This window comes from Homo sapiens, chromosome 4 (assembly GCF_000001405.40).
Source record: "Homo sapiens chromosome 4, GRCh38.p14 Primary Assembly".
Taxonomy (NCBI): domain Eukaryota; kingdom Metazoa; phylum Chordata; class Mammalia; order Primates; family Hominidae; genus Homo; species Homo sapiens.
Window position 1 is genome coordinate 144,130,031 of NC_000004.12, and position 27,172 is coordinate 144,157,202.

At 38.3% G+C, this 27,172-nt stretch overlaps 1 protein-coding gene and 1 long non-coding RNA gene across 8 annotated transcripts in view; one reads left to right on the plus strand and one right to left on the minus strand.

The window, feature by feature from the left end:
* Nucleotides 1–10,688, minus strand: part of GYPA (glycophorin A (MNS blood group)) — a 31,416-nt gene extending 20,728 nt beyond the window's left edge. For 6 of the 7 annotated variants that reach the window (NM_001438626.1, NM_001438625.1, NM_001308190.2 and 3 more), the window contains exon 1: nucleotides 10,569–10,688. In NM_001438626.1, the coding sequence (NP_001425555.1) occupies nucleotides 10,569–10,605 (37 nt within the window). In that variant the 5' untranslated portion in view covers nucleotides 10,606–10,688. Of the gene's footprint in view, nucleotides 1–8,130; nucleotides 8,214–10,568 lie in introns of all 7 variants that reach the window. The other variant, NM_001438627.1, reaches the window with a different exon arrangement.
* Nucleotides 1–27,172, plus strand: part of LOC105377460 (uncharacterized) — a 106,316-nt gene that overhangs the window by 51,833 nt on the left and 27,311 nt on the right. Inside the window, exon 9 of the long non-coding RNA XR_002959803.2 lies at nucleotides 14,087–14,185. This is a non-coding gene — a long non-coding RNA (uncharacterized LOC105377460). The remainder of the gene's footprint in view (nucleotides 1–14,086; nucleotides 14,186–27,172) is intronic.

Consider the following 27,172-nt stretch of genomic DNA (forward strand, 5'->3'; position numbering starts at 1 on the left):
GTTTCACCATATTGCCCATACTAGCCTCAAACTCCTAGGCTCAAGCAATTCTCCTGCCTCATTCTACTGAGCAACTTGGACTATAGGTGCACACCACCATGCCTGGCCTGGAATGGATGTCTTCTAAGATGCTTCACCATTCATGAATCATGGAAATCTGTATGTCTAAGATAATAATATTTGTAGTTAACACTTACTGCACACTTACTTCATTCCACACATCTCTCTAACCATTTTTAAAACAACTAGCTGAGACCCTATTGTTATATGTTAATTATTCTTTGTGGAGGAGGAAAAAAACATCAGAAGCATTGCCTGACTTGCTTAAGTTCACACAGCCACCAAGTGGCAGACCTGGATTTTGAATTCAGACCTATGTAACTACAGAACTGTCTGCCAAGGTCTACTGTGATCTATGTAGCAGAAAGAGAATGAGGGAATCAAGTAAGTTGTCATTGAGAGATTAAATTCTCACCAAATTATAATGCAACCAACTCTCAAGCGAGCCTTCACTTCAGCAAATCAGGGCTAAATGAAGAGATATAAAGATAATAATTCACCTTGTTTATAGCCTGAGGGTAAGAGTGTTGTACCTCTAACATAGCATTGTAGGGTGACCTGCAGTGGCAAATCCACATTACGGAAGAGCAGATGGTCCTGGTTATTAACAGTTTGTTAACTTGAATCTTAATTTTTCCAGCCAAGCATATTCCTATCTGGTCACTCCTGCCTACTAAAGAATCCTCAGAACAAAAGAGGATTTCACATATTTTACCTGTGTCCGCTTTAGTCTAAGGTTTGGTATTTCTGTAGCTGAACTTCACACACATTAAATTTGGGCTTAAGGAAGTTGGGCTGGATGAAAATAATTTTAATTGAAAACAAAAACTTTATCCCAAAGTTCTCACACCACTGGTACTTCCTTTTCACTGGTTGAACAATAAAAAAATTGCAGAAATGAACCTAGTTTGTTCTCATCCTTGACTGCATGGTAGAATCATCTGTGATATCCCAGGAATTGGATTCTGATGTGCGGCCAGCAGTGAGAACAACTGCTCCAGTTGGTAATATAGATTAATATATGTAAACTTCATCTTCCTGAGTTTCGAGGTCCACTCTTACATTTTCTATGGTTGTAGTGTCACCTTTATCTATAAAGTGAACAGCTATAGTATGTGATATTAGCCTGAACGACTTTAGAAATAACATCATTTGCCATCTTAAATGTTGGTGTTTCTTAGGGTTTTGTTTTAGAGCCACAGTCTCCCTCACTTCCTCCCTCAATTCGCATTTAATTTTACTTTAATCACTTTCCAAGGATAAGCTCATCAGTGTGTGAAACAGACAGAGTTGAACTGCTTGGTGGAAGCTGGCCTGAGTGTTTGGCCTGCAGCCTCACAACCTGTTCCCATCTCCACCTGGCAGCTTCAGAAAGCTCCACAGGAATTTAGATTGGAAATCTTTAGTCTAAAACTTAAGTTTTTCAGATTGTCTGTTGAGATCCCTTAGCACAAGTATTAGTAAACTTCCTATGTAAAGGGAGAGAGAGTAACTACTTTAGGATTTGTGGGCCACAACTACTTTAGGCTTTGTGGACCATCTATTACAAATATTCAACTCTGTCACTGTGCAAAAGCAGCTACAGACAATATGTAAACCAAAGCATAAATAAATGAGTATGACTATGTTCCAATAATGATTTGTGGGCAGTAGAATTTGAATTTCATATAATATTCACATATTATTATTATTATTTTGATTTTTTTTGTGTCTTTCTTTTTTTTTTTCTTTGAGACAGAGGCTTGCTCTGTTGCCCAGGCTAGAGTGAAGTGGCATGATCTTGGCTCACTGCAAGCTCTGCCTCCCGGGTTCACTCCATTCTCCTGCCTCAGCCTCCCAAGTAGCTAGGACTACAGGCGCCCACCACCAAGCCTGGCTAATTTTTTGTATTTTTAGGAGAGATGGGGTTTCACTGTGTTAGCCAGGACGATCTCGATCCTCTGACCTCGTGATCCGCCTGCCTCAGCCTCCCAAAGTGATGGGATTACAGGCTTGAACCACTGCACCCGGCCTATTTTGGTTTTTTTAAGCACTTAAAAAAGTAAAAATCATTTGTAACTTGTAAGGTATACAAAACCAGGGGGCCGGCCATTCACAGGCTATAGTTTGCTTGGCCTCTGTATTAGCATAACTAGAATCTCTGGATATGAAACCCAATCATCAGTGCTACATAGATTCCCTGAGAAAATTCCAACCTTCAGTCAAGATGGTGCATTCCTCTACTAATGGGTTATGAAATCAGTCCAGTGGGTTGTCACTGGCACTAAAAAATTAAGTTGTATTCTAGGTGTGGTGGCTCATGCCTGTAACCCCAGTGCTTTGGGAGGCCAAGGCAGGAGGATCGCTTGAGGCCAGGAGCTCGAGACCAGCCTGGGCAACATAGCAAGACCCCATATTTACAAATTAAATAACCAAAAAATTAGTCAGGTGTGGTTGAGCACACCTGAAGTCTCAGCTACTTGAGAGGCAGAAGCTGGAGAATCACTTGAATCCAGCAGTTCAAGACTGAAGTAAGCTATGACTGTGCCGTTGCAGTCCAGCTTAGGCCACAGAGCAAAATCTTTTCTCTAAAAAAAATTAAGTTGTATAAAACAGGAGAGAATATATCAAAGTACATCACACAGAATAAGGGAAGGTATTATTTTGTGGAATTTTATTTCAGACAAGTGTGTGTGTGAGCCTGTGTGCTGTGAGTTGTAGTGCACATTAACTATGTCTCAATAATACTTGATTATGTTTTGAGCCTGATGAACCTGGTTATACCCTATCTGAATACCTGGCTGCCAGATCAATAGCATATGAAATACCAGAAATGCACTCACCGCCTGCACAAGCCATTGACCAGTGGCTCATGCACACCTTTATCCAGCTTATCTAGCTCCAGAAAGCACTTAGACTTTCTATGTGTGCTGCACCACTAAAATGGGAATTCTGAGAGAGAATGCTTTCAAAAACATAAAGTTAGCTAATGGGACAATTACACGTAGGCTATATACTTTAGAAACACATGAAAGGATAAGGGCAAATAAAACATAATTTATATATCAAAAGAGCAGAAACAAGGAATCATAAAATATGAAATAGGATAACAGAAATAAGATACTAAATGTCAGTTGTGAATTAATGAATGCATATGGATTGTGGTTTTGTATTAAAAGACAGAAACTTTTAGATTGAGTCAAAAGAGATAGGTTAGGACTGGTGCAATGGCTCATGCCTGTAATCCCAACACTTTGGGAGGCCGAGGCAGGTGGATTGCCTGAGCTCAGGAGTTGGAGACCAGCATGGGCAACACAGTGAAACCCCGTCTCTACTAAAATACAAAAAATTAACTGGGCGCGATGGTGTGCGCCTGTATTCTCAGCTACTTGGGAGGCTGAGGCAGGAGAATTGCTTGAACCCGGGAGGCAGAGGTTGCAGTGAGCCGAGATCATGCAACTGCACTCCAGCCTGGGCGACAGAACGAGACTCCATCTTCAAAATAAATAAATAAATACATATAAAACTAAACAGGAATAACCGTATTAATCTTAGGCAAAGTAGAATTAAGAGCAAAGACATTACAAACAATGAAAAAGATTTACTTGTGTCATTAAGCAATATATTTCACAGTGATTCTTAAGTAATTATGGACCATTATAGCCCAATAATATAGCAACGAGAAACATAAAGCAGAATAAGAAATTGGCAAAAATACAATACCATTGAGAAATTTTAAGTTTTCTCCAATTGTGATAGATCAAGAAAGCAAAAAAACAAACACAGAAAGGATCTGAAATATATCTGCTTGCAATCACAAGGTATTGATTTATATGATTTTTGCTAACGAATCAATGAGGACAGATTTTATTAGGCATTCCCACATTCCCATACACTCATTTTGAAAGAACATTTCTGTATTTCCTGATACAATGTTTTTGAAGTCTGAATCTAGCAGAATAGTTCAGGAAAGGTAGCAAGGGGAGAACTTTTGTGGTCTTTTTCCTAGCAAAATGCAATTTCAGTGCCATGATCTCTATTCTCAGTTGCCTCAAATAGCTGTACTATTCATGTTTTATGTTTTGTATTTATTTCCTTCTATTTTGGCTTTTAAAAATATAGTGATGACTGGGAAATAAGTGATAACATCAAAAGGAGGCCTCCAGGATTTAAAAACATTTTCTATAGCCCATATAAAAAGGAGCAAAAGGCTAACATAACAGCCACACAGTTAGAGTTCCTTAGCTGCACCACGTGAGGAAGACAGACCGTCAACCTTCATTAAAGTCTTCAGCTTGGTGAAAGCACAGGCAGAACACTGAGTGACAATGTTGTAAGAGTAAAGGAGCCAATCCTGGAACATCACTAGGTATGGTACAGGCAACATGACATATTCTCTAAGTGCACAGATTCTGCAGTGGAACTGCCTAGGCTCAAACTAATTCCTCTAGCAACTACCTGAGACCTTGCAAAATTTACTTAATCTCTATATTTTTGTTCCATCATTATACATGGATTAGTCTCTACCTTATAGAGTTATTGAACAGGTTAAGTTAAAATGCACATAATTATTTTTTTGCAAGAATGGAAAACCTAATCCTAAAATTTCTATGAAATTGTTAGGGATCTAAATAGGCAAAACAATCTTGAAGAACAAAGTTTGGTGAATCACACTTCATGAATTAAAAACGTATAACCAAGTAACAGCAATAAAAACTGTGTGATTTTGCCCCAAGAACAGACATATTCTTAGGATAGAATTGAGACTCCAGAAATAAACTCATATATCCATGGCCAATTAACTTTCAAGAAGGGTGTCAAGACCATTCAATGGGCAAAGGATAGTCTCTTCAACAAATGGTGCTGGGACAGCTGCAAAATAATAAAGGTGGACTCTTATCATACATCATATAGAAAAATTAACTGATAATAAACCAAAGATCTAAATATAAGAGAAGAAATACAAAACTCTTAGAAGAAAACATAGGGAGAAATTTTTATGACTTTAAATTTGGCAATTATTTTTAGATATGATATCAAAAGCGTAAGCAGCAAAAGAAAAAAAAATAAATTGGACTTGAAAATGAAAAACATTTGTGCATCAAAGGACACTATCAAAAGTAAAAACAAAAATCTACAGAATGAAGGAAAAGATTTGCAAATAGTATATCTGATAAGACTCTTTATCCAGAACATAGAAAGAACTCTTACAACTTAGCAACACAAAAAGAAAAATAGATTGAAAAATGGGTGAAGGACTAGTACCAACATTTCTCCAAAGATATGCAAAATGCAGTTACCAACAATTACATGAGAAGATTCTCAGCGTCATTAGTTATTAGGAAAATGCAAGAAACCACAGTGAAAAACCATTTCATACCCTCTGAAATGGCTATAATTAAAAAAATGAAAAAGTACAATTTCTGGCAAGATTGTGGAGAAATTGGCACCTCATACACCCTGGTGAAAAGGTCAAAAGGTGCAGCTCCTGTGGAAAAGAGTTGAGCAGTTCCTTAGTAAGTTAAACATAAAATTACTATGACCCAGCAATTCTACCCCTATACATCTTTGAGTATTAAAAGTGGGTTCAAACAAAACTAGTACAGGAATATTTATAGCAGCACTATTCACAATAGCCAAAAGGTGGAAACAACACAAATTTTAATCAAATGATGGATCGATAAGCAAAATGTGATATGCCAACCCAAATTTTAATCAAATGATGGGTGGATAAACAAAATGAGATATACCAACACAATTATAAAAGGAATGAAATACTGATACATGCTACAATATGGATGAACTTTAAACACATTATTTTAAGTGAAAGAGGACATACACAAAAGGCTACCTATTATATGATTCCATTTATATGAAATATCTACAATGGGTATATCTGTAGATGTAGAAAACAAATTAGTGGTTTCCAGGGGCTGGAGGAATTGGAAGTGGCTGCTAATGGGTAAGAGGTTTCCTTTTGGAGTGATGAAAATGTTCTGGAGCTACATAATGGTGATGGGTGTGCATCATTTTGACTGCATTAAATGCTACCCATTGTACACTTTAAAATGGTTCAAATGGTAAATTTATATTATGTGTATTTTACTACAATTTTAAAAATTAAGTGTATGTAAATTGCTTAGAACAGTGCACGGCACAAAGTAAGTGCTATTATCAGTGTTGGTTATTATTATTCAGAACCTGCCTCTGTATGGAACCTAACCTGCTGTATATAAATCTAGGGATGGAAATACCAAAGTTGATCAAATAGCTGTTTATAGAACTTTGTACACTACAAACAAAGATGACATCATTTTTCCCGTGCTTACATATAATAATTTGGGTTAGACAGAAATTCTTAATACATATCACAAATAAATTGTATAGTCATAGTCTATGACCAACGTACAAAAATTAAAGACTTCTTAGAAAGCAGAGATTGTGTTTGTTCGGTTTACTTTTTAAAATATATTAAAACTTGTCCTGATTAGATTATATGGTTCTCTTTGCAGAAAATTTAGAAAGTATTTAAAATGAGAAAAAAAAACCTTGCAATCCCAACACTCAGAGATAAACCTGGAATTTTTTTTCAACATTTTTGCTTTAGTTTTAGTTTAGTTCATTTATCACAGAAAACTACACAGATAGGTACTTACTAAAGATGTGGATATGATAATAATGGCTGGAAATCTATGATGTAAAAATGTAGGTCCAGCCTGATTTTGTCAGCACCATGTAAGTAGGATTGGGTTTTTTTTGAGTAAAAGATATTACATTTGCAGTTGATGTCAAAATATAATCTATAAAGATAACTTGGGGAAATTCCCCAAAAGTATACTTCTCAAATAGTCTCACAGATGTTTTGAATAATCTTCTAGAAACCAAGGTGAAAAGAAATTTATCACAAGAATGTGAAGCTAAATTTCCTAATTTAAAATCACTACAAAGTAAGTTTGAGATACCATCCCTACTTTCCCCTCTATTCAGACCTTTTCTGCAAAGGAGTTCACAGTGGGTGTCTGTTTCTTTCTAAAAACCCTATTTCACACCATGCTAAAGATATTTATAGGTTTGGCAACTAGTCCAGCTCATCTCAGGCTGAATTTTGGGGATTCATTGGGGTTTACAGTTGAAAAATGCTTGTAGATACCATCTACTCGGCGCTTTATTGAATAGGCACAAGAAAACTGAGGCCCACGGGTGTTAAATGATTTTTCATGGCTAAACTAGTCTGCCGCAGAATTCTGGTCATTTGTCATTTGTCATTTTGAGTAGTTGATATTGACTGCCTACTATGTGGCTGACAATGTGTGGGACACATAAGCGAAGACACAGGTTTTGCTTTTAAAGAATTTATAGTCATGTATTCCCTGGCATACAGTTCCTGTAACTCTTTCCTGTGCCAATTAAATAGCAGCTAGCAAGGCTCTCTTCTTGGATCCCTGAAAAAAAAAAAAAAAAGAGATGCCTTGTTTCTTCACTTAACATGTGCTTCTCAGACTGATGTACTTGCAGGGGTATGAGTCAGATGCACAGGGTAATAATGATCTGTCTATGCGGAGCACTCACTGTGTCTAACCAGATGAAAACAAATATTTCCTCTTTCCTTTCCTCCTCCCCTTCCTCCTGTCTCTTCCCTTCCCTTCTCTCTTCTCCCTTCTTGCCTCCCTCCCTCTCTCCCTCCTCTCTTCTTTCCTTCCCTTTTTCCTTTTCTTTCTTCCTTCCTCTCCCTCTCTGCTTCTCTCTCCTTCTCCCTCCCTTCACCTCCTTCCTTGCTTATTCAACCAATATGCTACTATAAATACCAATCGGGAACTGTGCTAGATTCTGGGGATACACGGATGAATAAAGTAGGCATGATGATATCATACCAGTGCCTTTGTTTCCTCCAATTAAATTAGTATATTATGACCTAGAATGCAAATTTTGTATGAATTTTTAAGTAAACACAAAAAGCTTTTGGAGACTCCTGGTTTATGCCATAATTTCCTAGTCGAAGTGATATTGTATTGTATTTTCAAATTGGTTCTTAGCTTCAGAATCTGATTTTCAGATAAAAGCTCCAGCTTTTCCTTGAAAACACTAACTTACCTGCTGTTTCAGAATTTTTGCTCTTGCTCTTCCCTCTGCCTTCTGTCCTCTTTTCCCAGAATTTTCAGGGTTGGCTCCGTCTCCTTGTTCCACATTTAGCATAAATGTCATCTACTCAGAAAATAACTCCCTGCTACCCTTTTCTTAAGCAGCTTTCGGCATTCATGTTTATCATCTTACCTGGTTTTATATGCTTTGTATTAGTTTTGACTGTTTTTATCTTATTTTAATAAGATAGTTGTTGTTCCATTTATTATCTGCGTTCCCTCCCATCATCCACTGCGCCTACCCTCCGTGTATCCTCCATGGGAGCCCATTTTTCTTCCTGCTGTGGGCTCAGTGTCTGGTTCACAATCTGACATGTAATGACTGAATCATCAAATGAGTGCAGGAATTCAGGGACTGGGAATCAAGTCATATTAGAAAAAATGGATTCTCCATTTGGAAGGAGATCTCTGGTAAGTTTAGAATTAGAAATATTGGCTTTATTCTTAAGATTCCTGGAGAAAGCAAGGCAATCATCTTTTTTTTTATAGCAACATAAAAGAAAAAGAAAAAGACTTCACCATGTTTACTCTTCAGCTAATCAGTATGGGGGAAAAACTTGATCTTACACCTTTCTGTTATACTATAAAGTAGCCACATCAAGAGAGTTTCCTTGGAGGGTTTCTGAAGCTACAAAGATGATAACAGCTTGGGTACTGGAGACCATTGTAGCTTTCAGGGTCATCTTGCCCCAGTGACCAAGTGCCATTTAAGGCTTTAATACACTATCTGCTTGTGTAGTTGTAGAAATTTAAAAAAAAAATCATTTCTTTGCCAGGAACCCTTTCCAAATTTGGGGCACTTGTAAGTCACACAGAGTTTTCCCAAATGCTGGGCACACCCCCAGTAGAGTATGCAGTGTCTAATTTTGCTTGAGTTACATCCAGTTTGGTTTGCCCCATGGAGCAACACAAAGAATACATCTTTTTTTCTGTGTAATAGCACTTCAAATATATGAATATATATACAAATATTACACTACATCCCTTTCATTTGTTTTCTTTTCTTCAAACTAAATGTTTTCATACTTTTCTGCTTAAAAAATTAGAGTAGCTATGTTTGTTTTCTGTTTTCTTTCTGTAATTTTCTTTTCTCTCTGACTTTTCAGAAATCACCAATCACATACGTAGGTTTGTTCCCTAGTCTGTAACTATTGATAGCTACTGCTTATTTTAATAATATATTATTAATACTTTTTAATCATGATAGTTAATTCTAATCACAGAAAATGCATAGTAATCTTAACATTTTACTTTGTTTCAGGCATCAGTAAGTGTATTCCATTAAATATTTTGTTTAATCTTTATGCAATTATTATGAGGTAAGTACCAACACTGCCTGCATTTTAAAGACGAGGACACATAAAAATGTGGGCACATAATTTGCCTTAATGTTCCCCAGCCTTGAGAAGTAAAAGTAGATTTGAACCCAGTTCTGTCTGTTCCTCATGCCTGTGCTCTTAACTATTGCACTATTTTATCCTCCCCTAGGGTATCTTAGAAAATGCTGATCTCTCCTCCCTGTGTGCTACAGAGTGCTCAGTAGCTCCTTGATACTTGCTCTCACTTGGGATACAGCAATGTCTAATAGACTCAGAATGTTTCAAGCAACTGCCTGCCCGCTGTGTGCTGGGCACTAGTATTGCTAACACATAAGCACTGCACTTGAGAGGATGTTTAACTATAATATTCTCAGAAAGAGGCCAAAATCATGTTAATTTAAGACACTAAATTAATAATTAAATTTAAACTAAGTTAAATTCAAATTATTGAATTAATACAATTTAATAATAACCCTATGATATTTCTTTATTTTAATGGATTTAAATTTCTCCTAAAATTCACAGGATACCTAAGCCAGTAAGAGTTGTTTTTGTTTTTTTTCTTCCTATGTGACACTTTAGTAATGGACCCACAGAGAAGCGAACAACTCCCCACGGTTTCAGTGTTCATGCTTTTGGCTTCTCGCCATTTGGCAGAAATAGGAAATTATACCTTTTGAAAACTAAAAGCCATATAGCTACCAACATCTTCGTTAATAACTCTTTAGTTTGGAAATGAATCTCCTTATAACTCAAACAAAGCAATACATTTATTCACAGAGAGGTATTTCTCATAGCATTTGATAAAATTATTTTAATTCTAGCTAGACTTAGAATTGAAGTAAGCTTCTCATACTAGAAAACTGGATTTGGCCATAAATACTGGGCTCCCTTGTGCCATTTCCCCCACATTGGTAGCTGAGTTCCAGTAAAATCCATCCACCAGACTGGAAGAGGAAATACTACTCATTTATTGATTTAAATAAGATAGAACTAAAATAGGGTAGTTCATATTTTATTCTATGATCTCATACCCAATATAACAGAACCAAGATGAAATAAAATCACTTACCTGACAATAGTAATACAAAGATTATTTTTCCATACATCCTGAGATCATGAGCTGGTTCCTGAAGTTAGTGCAAAAAAACTACCAAAGACAACTGCAAGTGTCAGTGTCTGACCTTAGCCTGCTAGCTGTTATCTTCCAGGCCCACCTTCCTGCGGCCATCATCAGCTGATAGGCAGGGGAGGCATTTTAAATGATGCAAGTTGTTAAGCGCCTGTTAATAAAGATACATGGATATCTTGGGGCTATGAAAGTGGTAAGTAAAATTTTCACTGCAAGGAACAGGTTGCTACTTGTGATATTAACTTTGCATCAGTTAAGTGGGCATGGTAAGGTGGTAGACAGGAGCCACCCAACTGGACAAAGAACTGGACTGTGAATCTCTGAGGCCAGGGCACGTGCCAGGCTGAGGTAGCTGTTGTGGAGCCATGGACCTTCTCATTTCTAATGTCAAGACCCAGTGGTCCAAATGAAAGTGACTTCCTATATGTGAAATGAATGTATTTGAGAAATTTAAATCATTTGAGTGTTCTGAGGTTCTGAAAGACTCCCAAACTCATGGTGAGCCACACAGCAATGTAAGAGACATGAGATGCAACAGATCTTTCAGTGAAAAGAGAGTTTGAACTGAAGAGCTAGTACTGCGCAGCTATGAAACCAGTGAGCTGTTTCTGTCTGAAATATACCTTGCTAAGTAAGCATAAATGAATACCAAGACAATAAATGCAAACAGTCAGAAACAAAACCCAACAAACCAAAAACCTTATGAGTAAAGTAGGTTAAAATGAAAGGTATGAAAATGCGAGGAAGCTCAATTTTAAAGGCAGACAGAACAAAAAATATAAATTAGGTCTGAAATGGTTCAACAGAAGGTGACTGGATACTCCATCTAAATCATCTTACTTCCTGTAAGATTTTTGTGAAAGTCTTTCCTGCCTGACCCAGAAAATCAATTTGCTATGTGAGCAATTTGCCACATATAACATACATACATATTTACCCAAAGTGTGGTTTAAAAAAATCATTTATGAAGCTAATGTTTGCAGCTTCAGGAAACTGGGCGACAGAGAAAAAAAATTATTTACTGGAGAAAGATGGAGATAAGTATCAGCAGAGCATCCCAGAGAGGGAGGAGCCTGAGAATGAGGGACTAGTGGATGGAGGCAGCGGAGATGCAGACTTGGGGAGGATGGAAGAATGAATGACACAGAGGGGGTAATCTGAGCAGCAGGACAAGAATCCAGAATGCCTCTTAAGGCCCTGCCAATTCATGTAAAACAACTGCAGCAAATTTTATTAAAAAGTTAAAATTAAACAATACATAATAAATTAATACCTTCTATAAATTCAGTGTTTGTTATGGCTGGATATCAGGTTGAGTTGCAGGAATTGTGCTCAAGAGTCAGCCAAGTAAAGGAAATGTTGTTGATATTCATATAAGCAGTAAGAATTATTTCACACAATTTTATATTGACAAAGGGAGAGCGATTAGCATGAGTCTTAAAAATGCTATTTCTGAAAATGGGTAAATAAATGTCACTATTCTTACGATGGACTATTAGAGCAACTATTAAAATCATGTTTTCAAAAATAAAGATATGGAGACTCAGGATAAAATGGATAAGTGGAAAACAGCAAGATCTGAAAATTGTATATACACAAATAAAATCCTATTGGATTCTTTTTTTCCTGGGTTGTGCTATCTTCACCTGGAATACACCTACTCTTTTAAGTGGCCTCCAATTCTGCTTGGGGTCTCAATTGAATAGTACTTCCTCCACAAAGCCTTCCCTGACTTCCTGTCTTTGTCAGGTGCCCCTGCTCTATACTTGTGTGGTTTCATCTTCTTCTCTTATCATAGGACTTATTACACTACATTGCAATCATTGTGTCTCTACTGGACTACAGTTTTTAAGTGGGCACACCCTATGACTATTTTATTTACCAATGAGTGCTTGGGGCACACTTGACAATAAATATTTCTCAAATCAATAAATGACAAATAAATATTGCAGTGCAGAGGAAAGCAACTTCTCACAGGCAGTCCTGGGTGTATAGGCTGATCATTTTTTATATATCCTGCGGGTAACCTATGTCATGTCCTAGCTTCAGGTTCCCTCCAGTATGGAGGTCCATTGCTAAGGCAGGAAGGGGAAAACGAAAAGGAAACTCAGCCTAAAATTCAGCTTTCATACCTCCTTCAGCCTGGACTGGTCAGAGTCTGAGAGTGCTTTCTCTTCCATGACCTCCCACTTTCCTTTCCTGCAGAATCACATCGTTAGCAATTCTCTAAACTCCTGTAGTGCTTACACATGCCTGTTTATTAACACCTGTCTCAGGTTGTTGTGAACAATCTGTTGCTTTGTATTTGTGGGTCCTGTCTCTGTTGTTCTGTTTCCAGCATCTGGCACAATGCCCTATAGAGTACCTGGCCCTATTAAAGTAAGTCAAAACCTGGAGGGTTCTCAATGAGGAAATCAGAGGTCAGATTCAGCACCTCACACAAGGTGTGAGGAAGCAGAGCCATATAGTGCCCTCTAGTGGCGTATCTGCACAATGGAAGGAAAAAATGTGAGCCCTGAAAATGCAACAGAAAAAAATATACGTCAGATTACATATTTCTTTTTCAGGCATTCCCTAATCTTCTTTAATTTTTTCAAAAATATTTTTACTGAAGTACACATTCAGAATTATCATAAAATTCTACCTATGAGCTATATCATGCAAATTATTAGATAAATCCACATCTTTTAAGAATTTTGACTCTTTGCATAAAATAAAACAAGTACTTTTGAGGCATTTGATCAAACATAAAAAACTTATCCAATTTTCTTGATACTACATGTCTTTAGGCTATTTTTTGAATTGCCTGAGTCATTTCTATGACGTAGTTAAGAAGGATGAAGTTCAATGTTATAATCTAGGAAAGGCAACTTGGATCGATCAACACAAACTTATACCTTGCTTGTTTCATGACAGAGAACCATTCATTTTTGTCAATTACTTACCTCTCAACTATTTCAGGCTTAGATTATTCCTGAAGATGGTTGCATGCTAGTCTGATCTGCCAGTGGAGAAGTGTGCTTTTCATGTTTTGCATGGAGGAGTGGAGAACAGGGGAGGGGCAGGAAAGTGGAGGCACAGTGGTTTATACTACTAGCCTCCGTGGTACCTCGTTGCCTTAGAATTGTCCAGCCTGCTTTGCCAGAGTAATCTAAGAACTTTCCCTGACCTTTGTTAGTTTATCATTTCAAAATTTTTTTAAATAAAAAAACAACTACAAGGTAAGATAAATCTAACGCTCAAAATAACCCTGTTAGAGAGACAGAACAGATATTAGCATTCTTATTTTATATATGAGCAAACTATGGAATGGAAAAGAGATTATGGGTGTATTACCTGATTTGATTTGCCCTAAGTGTTTTTTAAACGTATGGATTTAGCTGCCAACATTTAAAAAGAAGGTATATTTTAATTAAAATCAGGAATTGATTTAATTAAAAATTTGGCTCCTCTTACAGGAAGATCTGGCAAGAGTTAGCATGCAGGTCTACATTGTGACAATCCATGAGAGCTAAGGACTGGCTGTCTCTTGGGACAAATAGGCTTTCTTGAGTCTGGTAAGTGCTCCACCTGATGCTTGCTTCCATTTCTTAGATTAGGTTTTACTGTGGTAAGGCCTCAAAATCTCAGTGTCTTGCAGCAACACTGGTTCATTTCCTGCTCACATTACATTTGGTCTATGATGGTGACAAGTTCCAGGATCAAGACTGAAGGAGCCACCTCCGTTTGGAATATGCTGTTCTTGTTGCAAACTGGGGGAAAAAGGCCAAATAAGGAATGGCTTTTAATGCTTCCTCTCAGACATGGTATGTGTTATTTTTTTTTCTCACATTCTATTAACCAAAGTAAATCAGTGGCCAAGCTGACCTCAATGGGACAAGTAAATATAATTCTTCCAAATGGAAGTCCTGCAAGTCATAGTTCAATGGTGAGGATATATAAAACACTTACAGGAAGGGCCCTAATAATTGGGAGCAAAAACGCAATCCATCACATGCATTTATACTCTTTCTAAGCTTTTGGCATTTGGGTTTGGAAATCTAATTTATTTAGGAGTCTTCTTCAACACCTTCTAGTGATGAGATTTCTTTAATCCAATTTTCAGTTTCCTTTCTTTAAAATTATAATGAGATGTGATGTGTGTTGAAGAAACCCCAGAAGTGAGAAACTCTCATCACTACAATGGTGACGTAGACAGTGATTAACTGTTCCCAGTTGCCTCTAAGTCCATTGTGCTATACTGCTGGAATCAGGAATCATACATGATCTTTCTGCTGAGAATTGATAGGTCCAGCTTGTTCTACATCCAAATAATAATTCAACACATGATTTGTGAGCACCTACTGGGCACTGTGCCAAGTGTGGAAGATACAACCTTCAGTAACTCAAGTTTCCCTTCAGGAACTGACAGCTTAATTGGGAAACAAATTAAGAAGGCAACTGCATTATGGAGTGTCAAGTGGATGATAGTAGTAAGCAAAGGGTGTTATAAGAGTACATAAGAGGGGTACCTAACTCAGACTTGGGGTTCTGGAAAGGTTTTCCAGAGCAAGCAATGAGACCTAAAGGATGAGTAGACAAGTCACGGGAGAATTAAGAACATTTTAAGCAGAGAAAGCAGCATGAGCAATGGTCTGATATCAAGAAAGAGAGAGATAGTGCAAGAGTACACAATGTAGTAGTTTTCAAAACTGTTTGAAATTTTAATCTCACATTTGTTCTTTTCAATGTCTAGGATATCAATTCATTCTGCCGTTTACCTTTGTAAACATGAATTTAGCCCTGTTTCTCTATATGAATACTAGCGGAAGTATATTGATAAAAGAAAAGGAACAAATATGTAGTCATTTCTAAGATTTATTTTTATTAAAATGTAACACTCACAAACTGTAAGTGTATAACTCATATATATATATACACACACATATACACACACACACATACATGAGTATATGTGTGAAACTGTCACTCAAATCAAGACATAGAACATTTCAGATGTATTCCAGAGATCATGGTGGATGGGAGGCAGGACTGGATTGCAGCTCCCACTTGGACAGACAAAGCAGCGTGTGGAGGCTTGTATCATGAACTTTGACTGCAGGAATAAATCAGGAAAGCTGAGAGAACCCACAGACCCTCTGAAGGAAGTGAATTGCTCCTGCAGGTCTCAGGAGACACCCCAAATGCTGTGGGAGCCCAAACTGCAAACTGTGGAAGTGGGAAAGGGGAATAGTCAGCTCCTGAACACACATCCTCACTGGGGAACCTAAAGGTCTAGATCACAGGAGAAGATTTTGACCTTACTTGGAGCTGAGTCAATTTAGAGAGCCAAGTGACATACACTGCTAGAGAAAGCAGCGCGAAAAGCCCTGTGGGCTCACAGGGTTCCCTAGCTATCCATTTCTGCCTTGCCTCTCAGGGGTCCTTGAGGAGGGCTACCAGAGGCACTGGGAAATGGTCACAAAGAGAAGGAAACTTCCAGCTGAACTTTGTAACAATTTGAACAGATTGAGAAGTCTCCTGGCCAGAACCTGGGGGAGGGCATGAATCCAGTGTGCAGACTCCACAGGTGGGGAAGTACCAAAGCCCTACTTGCTTTTGCAGCTGGGAGGCTGGTAGCCTGGGGCAAATTCTCAGCCCTGCTCACCCACTGCCTTGAAACAGACTCAGTGCTGTTGTAGGGGCTATGGTGGGAGTGAGACCAGCCCTTCGGGTTATGTGGGAGCTGGGTGAGGCCTGTGACTTCAACTTCCCTGACAACCTGCATGGGATAAAAATCAGGGATAAAAATCACTACAGCTCTGCCCTCAGGAAGCCACATCCCTGGGAAAAGTGGGAGAGTACTACATCAAGGGAACACCCCGTGGGACAAAAGAATCTGAACAACAGCCTTGAGCCCTAGACTTTCCCTCTGACAGAGCCTACCCAAAGGAGAAGGAACCAGAAAGCCAACTCTGGTAATATGACAAAACAAGGTTTTTTAACACCCCCCCAAAATCTCACTAGCTCACCAGCAATGGATCCAAATGAAGAAGAAATCCCTGATTTACGTGGAAAAGAATTCAGAAGGTTAGTTATTAAGCTAATCAAGGAGGTACCAAAAAAGGCAAAGCCCAATTTAAGGAAGTGAAAAAAAAAAGATAAAATGATACAAGAAATGAGGGGAGAAATTTTCAATTAAATAGATAGCATAAATAACAATCAAAACTTCAGGAAAAAATGGGTGCACTTATAGAAATGCAAAATGCTCTGGAAAGTCTCAGCAATAGATTCCAACAAGCAAAAGAAAGAACTTCAGAGCTCGAAGACGAGGTTTTCAAATTAACCCAAACCAACAAAGACAAAGAAAAAAGAATAAGAAAATACAAGCAAAGCCTGCAAGAAATCTGGGATTATGTTAAACAACCAAACTAAGAATTATCAGCCTTCTTGAGGAAGAAGAGAAATCTAAGTTTGGAAAACATATTTTGGGGAATAATCAAGGAAAACTTCCCGGCCTTGCTAGAGACCTAGACATCCAAATACAAGTTCAAAGAACACCTGGGAAATACATTGCAAAAAGTCATTGCCTAGGCATATTGTCATCAGGTTATCTAAAGTTAAGATGAGGGAAAGAATCTTAAGAGCTGTGAGGTAAAAGGATGACTTAACCTATAAAGGAAAACCTATCAGATTAACAGCAGATTTCTCAGCAGAAACTCTATAGACTAGAAGGGATTTTGGCCCTGTCTTCAGCCTCCTTAAACAAAATAATTATCAGCCAAGAATTTGTATCCACCGAAACTAAGCTTCATAAATGGAGGAAAGATACAGTCTTTTTCAGACAAACAAATGCTGAGAGAATTTGGCACTACCAAGCCAGCACTACAGGAACTGCTAAAAGGAGCTATAAATGTTGAAAGAAATTCTGGAACAACATTAAAACAGAGCCTCTTTAAAGAGTAAATATTACAGGACCTATACAACAACAACAACAAACAAACAACAACAACTAAAAAACAAGGTATACAGGCAAGAAATAGCACAATGAATGGAATGGTACCTCATATCTCGATACTAACATTGAATATAAATGGCCTAAATGCTCCACTTAAAAGATACAGAATTAAAGAATGGATAAGAATTCATAAAGCAACTATCTGCTCCCTCCATGAGACTCAACTGACACATAAGGACTCACATAAACTTAAGGTAAAGGGGTAGAAAGAGACATTCAACGCAAATGCAACCAGAAGCAAGCAGGAGTAGCTTTTCTTTTATTTTTTTTTAATTTTATTATTATTGTACTTTAAATTTTAGGGTACATGTGCACAACGTGCAGGTTTGTTACATATGTATACATGTGCCATGTTGGTGTGCTGCACCCATTTACTCATCATTTAGCATGAGGTATATCTCCTAATGCTATCCCTCCCCGCTCCCCCCACACCACAGCAGTCCCTGGTGTGTGATGTTCCCCTTCCTGTGTCCATGTGTTCTCATTGTTCAATTCCCACCTATGAGTGAGAACAAGTGGTGTTTGGTTTTTTGTCCTTGCGATAGTTTGCTGAGAATGATGGTTTCCAGTTTTATCCATGTCCCTACAAAGGACATGAGCTCATCATTTTTTTATGGCTGCATAGTATTCCATGGTGTATATGTGCCACATTTTCTTAATCCAGTCTATCATTGTTGGACATTTGGGTTGGTTCCAAGTCTTTGCTATTGTGAATAGTGATGCAATAAACATACGTGTGCATGTGTCTTTATAGCAGCATGATTTGTAATCGTTTGGGTATATACCCAGTAATGGGATGGCTGGGTCATATGGTATCTCTAGTTCTATATCCCTGAGGAATCGCCACACTGACTTTCACAATGGTTGAACTAGTTTACAGTCCCACCAACAGTGTAAAAGGGTTCCTATTTCTCCACATCCTCTCCAGCACCTGTTGTTTCCTGACTTTTTAATGATTGCCATTCTAACTGGTGTGAGATCATATCTCATTGTGGTTTTGATTTGCATTTCTCTGATGGCCAGTGATGATGAGCATTTTTTCATGTGTCTGTTGGCTGCATAAATGTCTTCTTTTGAGAAGTGTCTGTTCATATCCTTTGCCCACTTTTTGATGGGGTTGTTTTTTTCTTGTAAATTTGTTTGAGTTCATTGTAGATTCTGGATATTAGCCCTTTGTCAGATGAGTAGGTTGTAAACATTTTCTCCCATTTTGTAGGTTGCCTGTTCACTCTGATGGTAGTTTCTTTTGCTGTGCAGAAGCTCTTTAGTTTAATTAGATCCCATTTGTCAATTTTGGCTTTTGTTGCCATTGCTTTTGGTGTTTTAGACATGAAGTCCTTGCCCATGCCTATGTCCTGAATGGTATTGCCTAGGTTTTCTTCTAGGGTTTTTATGGTTTCAGGTCTAACATTTAAGTCTTTAATCCATCTTGAATTAATTTTTGTATAAGGTGTAAGGAAGGGATCCAGTTTCAGGTTTCTCCATATGGCTAGCCAGTTTTCCCAGCACCATTTATTAAATAGGGAATCCTTTCCCCATTTCTTGTTTTTGTCAGGTTTGTCAAAGATCAGATAGTTGTAGATATGCGGCATTATTTCTGAGGGCTCTGTTCTGTTCCATTGGTCTATATCTCTGTTTTGGTACCAGTACCATGCTGTTTTGGTTACTGTAGCCTTGTAGTATAGTTTGCAGTCAGGTAGCGTGATGCCTCCAGCTTTGTTCTTTTGGCTTAGGATTGACTTGGCAATGCAGGCTCTTTTTGGTTTCATATGAACTTTAAAGTAGTTTTATCCAATTCTGTGAGGAAAGTCATTGGTAGCTTGATGGGGATGGCATTGAATCTATAAATTACCTTGGGCAGTATGGCCATTTTCATGATATTGATTCTTCCTACCCATGAGCATGGAATGTTCTTCCATTTGTTTGTATCCTCTTTTATTTCCTTGAGCAGTGGTTTGTAGTTCTCCTTGAAGAGGTCCTTCACCTCCCTTGTAAGTTGGATTCCTAGGTATTTTATTCTCTTTTCAGCAATTGTGAATGGGAGTTCACTCATGATTTGGCTCTCTGTTTGTCTGTTATTCGTGTATAAGAATGCTTGTGATTTTCGCACATTGATTTTGTATCCTGAGACTTTGCTGAAGTTGCTTATCAGCTTAAGGAGATTTTAGGCTGAGACGATGGGGTTTTCTAGATATATACACATGTCATCTGCAAACAGGGACAATTTGACTTCCTAATTCAATGCCCTTTATTTCCTTCTCCTGCCTGATTGCCCTGGCCAGAACTTCCAACACTATGTTGAATAGGAGTGGTGAGAGAGGGCATCCCTGTCTTGTGCCAGTTTTCAAAGGGAATGCTTCCAGTTTTTGTCCATTCAGTATGATATTGGCTGTGGGTTTGTCATAGATAGCTCTTATTTTGAGATGTGTCCCATCAATACCTAATTTATTGAGAGTTTTCAGCATGAAGGGTTGTTGAATTTTGTCAAAGGCCTTTTCTGCATCTATTGAGATAATCATGTAGTTTTTGTCTTTGGTTCTGTTTATATGCTGGATTACGTTTATTGATTTTTGTATGTTGAACCAGCCTTGCATCCCAGAGATGAAGCCCACTTGATCATGGCGGATAAGCTTTTTGATGTACTGCTGGATTCGGTTTGCCAGTATTTTATTGAGGATTTTTGCATCAATGTTCATCAAGGATATTGGTCTAAAATTCTCTTTTTTTGTTGTGTCTCTGCCAGGCTTTGGTATCAGGATGATGCTGGCCTCATAAAATGAGTTAGGGAGGATTCCCTCTTTTTCTATTGATTGGAATAGTTTCAGAAGTAAAGGTACCAGCTCCTCCTCGTATCTCTGGTAGAATTTGGCTGTGAATCCATGTGGTCCTGGACTCTTTTTGGTTGGTAAGCTATTAATTATTGCCTCAATTTCAGAGCCTGTTATTGGTCTATTCAGAGATTCAAATTCCTGGTTTAGTCTTGGGACGGTGTATGTGTGGAGGAATTTATCCATTTCTTCTAGATTTTCTAGTTTATTTGTGTAGAGGTGTTTATAGTATTCTCTGATGGTAGTTTGTATTTCTGTGGGATCGGTGGTGATATCCCGTCATTTTTTATTGCGTCTATTTGATTCTTCTCTCTTTTCTTCTTTATTAGTCTTGCTAGCAGTCTATCAATTTTGTTGATCTTTTCAAAGAGCCAGCTCCTGGATTCATTGATTTTTTTGAAGGGTTTTTTGTGTCTCTGTCTCCTTCAGTTCTGCTCTGATCTTAGTTATTTCTTGCCTTCTGCTAGCTTTTGAATGTGTTTGCTCTTGCTTCTCTAGTTCTTTGAATTGTGATGTTAGGGGGTCAATTTTAGATCTTTCCTGCTCTCTCTTGTGGGCATTTAGAGCTATAAATTTCCCTCTACACACTGTTTTAAATGTGTCCCAGAGATTCTGGTATGTTGTGTGTTTGTTCTCGTTGGATTCAAAGAACATCTTTATTTCTGCCTTCATTTTGTTATGTACCCAGTAGTCATTCAGGAGCAGGTTGTTCAGTTTCCATGTAGTTGAGCAGTTTTGAGTGAGTTTCTTAATCCTGAGTTCTAGTTTGATTGCACTGTGGTCTGAGAGACAGTTTGTTATAATTTCTGTTCTTTACATTTGCTGAGGAGAGCTTTACTTCCAACTATGTGGTCAATTTTGGAATAGGTGTGGTGTGGTGCTGAAAAGAATGTATATTCTGTTGATTTGGGGTGGAGACTTCTGTAGATGTCTATTAGGTCCACTTGGTGCAGAGCTGAGTTCAATCCATGGATATCCTTGTTAACTTTCTGTCTTGTTGATCTGTCTAATGTTGACAGTGGGGTGTTGAAGTCTCCCATTATTATTGTGTGGGAGTCTAAGTCTCTTTGTAGGTCACTCAGGACTTGCTTTATGAATCTGGGTGCTCCTGTATTGGGTGCATATATATTTAGGATAGTTAGCTCTTCTTATTGAATTGATCCCTTTACCATTATGTAATGGCCTTCTTTGTCTCTTTTGATCTTTGTTGGTTTAAAGTCTGTTTTATCCGAGACTAGGATTGCAACACCTGCCTTTTTTTGTTTTCCATTTGCTTGGTAGATCTTCCTCCATCCCTTTATTTTGAGCCCATGTGTGTCTCTTCATGTGAGATGGGTTTCCTGAATACAACACACTGATTTGTCTTGACTATCCATTTTGCCAGTCTGTGTCTTTTAATTGGGGCATTTAGCCCATTTACATTTAAGGTTAATATTGTTATGTGTGAATTCGATCCTGTCATTATGATGTTAGCTGGTTATTTTGCTCATTAGTTGATGCAGTTTCTTCCTAGCCTTGATGGTCTTTACAATTTGGCATGTTTTTGCAGTGGCTGGTACTGGTTGTTCCTTTCCATGTTTAGTGCTTCCTTCAGGATCTCTTTTAGGGCAGGCCTGGTGGTGACAAAATCTTTCAGCGTTTGCTTGTCTGTATAGTATTTTATTTCTCCTCCACTTATGAAGCTTAGTTTGGCTGGATATGAAATTCTGGGTTGAAAATTCTTTTCTTTAAGAATGTTGAATATGGGCCCCCACTCTTTTCTGGCTTGTAGAGTTTCTGCCGATAGATCCACTGTTAGTCTGATGGGCTTCCCTTTGTGGGTAACCTGACCTTTCTCTCTGGCTGCCCTTAACATTTTTTCCATCATTTCAACTTTGGTGAATCTGACAATTATGTGTCTTGGAGTTGCTCTTCTCAAGGAGTATTTTTGTGGCGTTCTCTGTATTTCCTGAATTTGAATGTTGGCCTGCCTTGCTAGATTGGGGAAGTTCTCCTGGATAATATCCTGCAGCGTGTTTTCCAACTTGGTTCCATTCTCCCCGTCATTTTCAGGTACACCAATCAGACGCAGATTTGGTCTTTTCACTTAGTCCCATATTTCTTGGAGGCTTTGTTTGTTTCTTTTTATTCTTTTTTCTCTAAACTTCTCTTCTTACTTCATTTCACTCATTTCATCTTCCATTGCTGATACCCGTTCTTCCAGTTGATTGCATCAGCTACTGTGGCTTGTGCATTCGTCACATAGTTCTCGTGCCTTGGTTTTCAGATCCATCAGGTCCTTTAAGGACTTCTCTGCATTGGTTATTTTGGTTATCCATTCGTCTAATTTTTTTTCACGGTTTTTAACTTCTTTGCCATTGGTTTGAACTTCCTCCTTTAGCTCAGAGTAGTTTGATCTTCTGAAGCCTTCTTCTCTCAACTCATCAAAGTCATTCTCCATCCAGCTTTGTTCCGTTGCTGGTGAGGAGCTGCGTTCCTTTGGAGGAGGAGAGACACTCTGATTTTTAGAGTTTCCAGTTTATCTGCTTTGTTTTTTCCCCATCTTTGTGGTTTTATCTACCTTTGGTCTTTGATGATGGTGATGTACAGATGGGATTTTGGTGTGGATGTCCTTTCTGTTTGTTAGTTTTCCTTCTAACAGTCAGGACCCTCAGCTGCAGGTCTGTTGGAGTTTGCTGGAGGTCCACCCCAGACCCTGTTTGCCTGGGTATCAGCAGCAGTGGCTGCAGAACAGCAGATATTGGTGTACTGCAAATGCTGCTGCCTGATCGTTCCTCTGGAAGTTTTGTCTCAGAGGAGTACCCGGCCGTGTGAGGTGTCAGTCCGCCTCTACTGGGGGATGCCTCCCAGTTAGGCTACTCAGGGGTCAGGGACCCACTTGAGGAGGCAGTCTGTCAGTTCTCAGATCTCAAGCTGCGTGCTGGGAGAACCACTACTCTCTTCAAAGCTGTCAGACAGGGACATTTAAGTCTGCAGAGGTTACTGCTGCCTTTTGTTTGTCTGTGCCCTGCCTCCAGAGGTGGAGTCTACAGAGGCAGTCAGGCCTCCTTGAGCTGTGGTGGGCTCTACCCAGTTCGAGCTTCCCGGCCACTTTGTTTACCTACTCAAGCCTCAGCAATGGCGGGCACCCCCCCACCCCCAGCCTCACTGCCGCCTTGCAGTTTGATGTCAGACTGCTGTGCTAGCAATGAGCGAGGCTCTGTGGGCGTAGGACCCTCTGAGCCATGTGCGGGATATAATCTCCTGGTGTGCCGTTTGTTAAGCCCATTGGAAAAGCGCAGTATTAGGGTGGGAGTGACCCAATTTTCCAGGTGCAATCTGTCACCCCTTTCTTTGACTAGGAAAGGGAATTCCCTGACCCCTTGTGCTTCCCGGGTGAGGCAATGCCTCGCCCTGCTTCAGCTCACGCACGGTGCGCTGCACCCACTGTCCTGCACCCACTGTCTGGCACTCCCCAGTGAGATGAACCTGGTACCTCAGTTGGAAATGCAGAAATCACCCGTCTTCTGCCTCGCTCACGCTGGGAGCTGTAGACTGGAGCTGTTCTTGTTCGGCCATCTTGGCTCCACCCAATCCTACACTTTCTACAAGGCTGAATGGATGCACTTTCTCTTTTAGATCATGTTCCTTCTTAAAAGTGTATTTTTGAGTGTACATACTTTGATAGCCCAGCTTTGCCATTCAGGCACAGACTATTCCATCTAATAATAAGATAAAATTGATATTTCTGTGCAGATACTGGATATTTTTGCTGACTTTTGCAAATTAGCTTTTTTCTTTTGCCCTGCTAACTTCACGTATTACTTCTAGTAGTTGTTTTTTGTATTTTCTATAATTGTTATGTAAGCAATCATATAATCTGAAAATAGAGACAGTTTTACTTCTTTCTTTCTTATTTTTATGAACTTACATATTCTTTTTTCAAGGTAGCCTTTGATATTTTACATCTTTGAGGCGGGATGTAGAGATGCACTTTCACCTATTAGTTTTAGAATCAGGTTGTTAATTTCCACCAAAAGAATGTCCTGGAATTGCATTAAATCCTTAAATCTTTTGGGGAGGAATTGAAACCTTAACAGTATTGCATTTTCCAATCCATGAACACAGTATCTGACTCTATTTGTTTGGTTCTCTTTAGTTTCTCTCATCAATGTTTGGTAATTATTTATGCAGAAGTCTTCCTCATTATTTATTAGATTTATGCTATTGTATGTGGCTTGTTTACTTTAAATTTTCAATTGTTTATTTTTATATAGAAATACAATATTTTCATTTTGATTTTATATCAAGTTATCTTTCTAAAATTCACATTAATTCTAATAGTTTTATGTATTATTTTGTATATTCAATGTACATAATCCTATTAGTCTGTAAATAATGCTAGGTTTACGTTATATGTATGTGCATGCACACAAACACAAACACACACACACACTTGCTTGTTTTGCACTGTCTAGAACCTCCAGTAATAAGTTTAATAAAGTGATAGTAGTAGACACATTTTGTCAAATAAGACAGTTGTATTTCTAGTTATGAGAAACTTTATCATGAAATGTTGTTAAATTTTATCAAGTGCTTTTCCTGCAGCTATTGCAATTATCATATCATTTTCCTCTTTTTATCAATAAATTTTATTATTTACATAAATCTATTTTTGTTTTTTATTTTTTTCTGGAAAAGATTAAGATGAGGTATTTTTGAATTTTAAAGTGACATTTCGTTCTAGAGTAAAGCCAATTTAGACATAAGGTATGTTTTTATATACAGTCAGACTCAATATCCATATATTCTAAAGACTTATAAATTTACATGTATAAGAGCTAATGCCCTGTTATTTCTCTCTCTCTCTCTCTTTTATTTTATTTTTATTTTTTTATTTTGAGACGGAGTCTCACTCTGTCACCCAGGCTGGAGTGCAATGGCACGATCTCTGCTCACTGCAAGCTCTGCCACTGGGTTCACGCCATTCTCCCGCCTCAGGTTCCTGAGTAGCTAGGACTACAGACTCCCGTCATCACGCCTGGCTAATTTTGTTTTTGTGTTTTTAGTAGAGACGGGGTTTCACCGTGTTAGCCAGGATAGTCTCCATCTCCTGACCTCATGATCCACCCTCCTTGGCCTCCCAAAATGCTGGATTACAGGTGTGAGCCACCGCGCCCGGACTATTTCTCTTTTTTACACTCTCTTTTCAGGTTTTGTTAGCAAGCTTTTACTGTATTCATAAATAGAAAGCTTTTTCAATAATCTGAGTTTGTGTAAGATTAAGATTAATTATTTCTTTTTTTTAAGTTTTTTTTCTTTTATTATTATACTTTAAGTTTTAGGGTACATGTGCACATTGTGCAGGTTAGTTACATATGTATACATGTGCCATGCTGGTTAAACGTTGAAAAACTTTAAAATAAAACAATCCAGGCCTGAAGTTGTCTTTGTAAGAAATGTTTTAATTTCTTTAAATTATGGATTCAACTGGATTTCACAGATACAACTTCTTTATCAAAGTACAATTCAGTTTATCTATTTCTTTTTTTAAAATTATACTTTAAGTTCTGGGGTACATGTGCAGAATGTGCAGGTTTGTTTCATAGGTATACACGTGCCATGGTGGTTTGCTGCACCCATCAACCCGTCATCTACATTAGGTGTTTCTCCTAATGCTATCCTTTCCCTAGCACCCTAGCCCCTGACAGGCCCCAGTGTGTGATGTTCCCCTTCCTGTATCCATGTGTTCTCATTGTTCAACTCCCACTTACGAGTGAGAACATGTGGTGTTTGATTTTCTGTTCTTGTGTTAGTTTACTGAGAATGATGGTCTCCAGCATCATCCATGTCATTGCAAAGGACATTAACTCATCCTTTTTATATGGCTGCATAGTATTCCATGGTGTATATGTGCCACATTTTCTTTATCTAATCTATCATGATGGGCATTTGGGTTGGTTCCAAGTCTTTGCTATTGTGAAGAGTGCCACAATAAACATACATGTGCATGTGTCTTTATAAGAGAGTGATTTATAATCCTTTGGGTATATACCTAGTAATGGGATTGCTGGGTCAAATAGCATTTCTAGTTCTAGATCCTTGAGAAATCACCACACTGTCTTCCACAATGGTTGAACTAATTTACACTCCCACCAATAGTGTAAAAGTGTTCCTATTTCTCCACATTCTCTCCAGCATCTGTATTTTTCTGACTTTTTAATGATCACCATTCTAACTGGCATGAGATGGTATCTCATTGTGGTTTTGATTTGCATTTCTCTAATGACCAGTGATGATGAGCTTTTTTTCATGTTTATTGGCTGCATAAATGTCTTCTTTTGAGAAGTGTCTGTTCGTATCCTTTGCCCACTTTTTGATGGGGTTGTTTGTTCTATTCTTGTAAATCTGTATAAGTTCTTTGTAGATGCTGGATATTAGTCCTTTGTCAGATGGATAGATTGCAAAAATTTTCTCCCATTCTGTAGGTTGCCTGTTCACTCTGATGATAGTTTCTTTTGCTGTGCATAGTATTGGAAGTTCTAGCCAGGACCATCAGGCAAGAGAAAAAAATAAAGGGTATTCAAGTAGGAAAAGAGGAGTGTCAAATTGTCTCTGTTTGCAGATAACATGATTTTATATTTAGAAAAACCCCATCATCTGATCCCAAAATCTCCTTAAGCTGATCAGCAACTTTAGCAAAGTCTCAGGATACAAAATCAATGTGCAAAAATCACAAG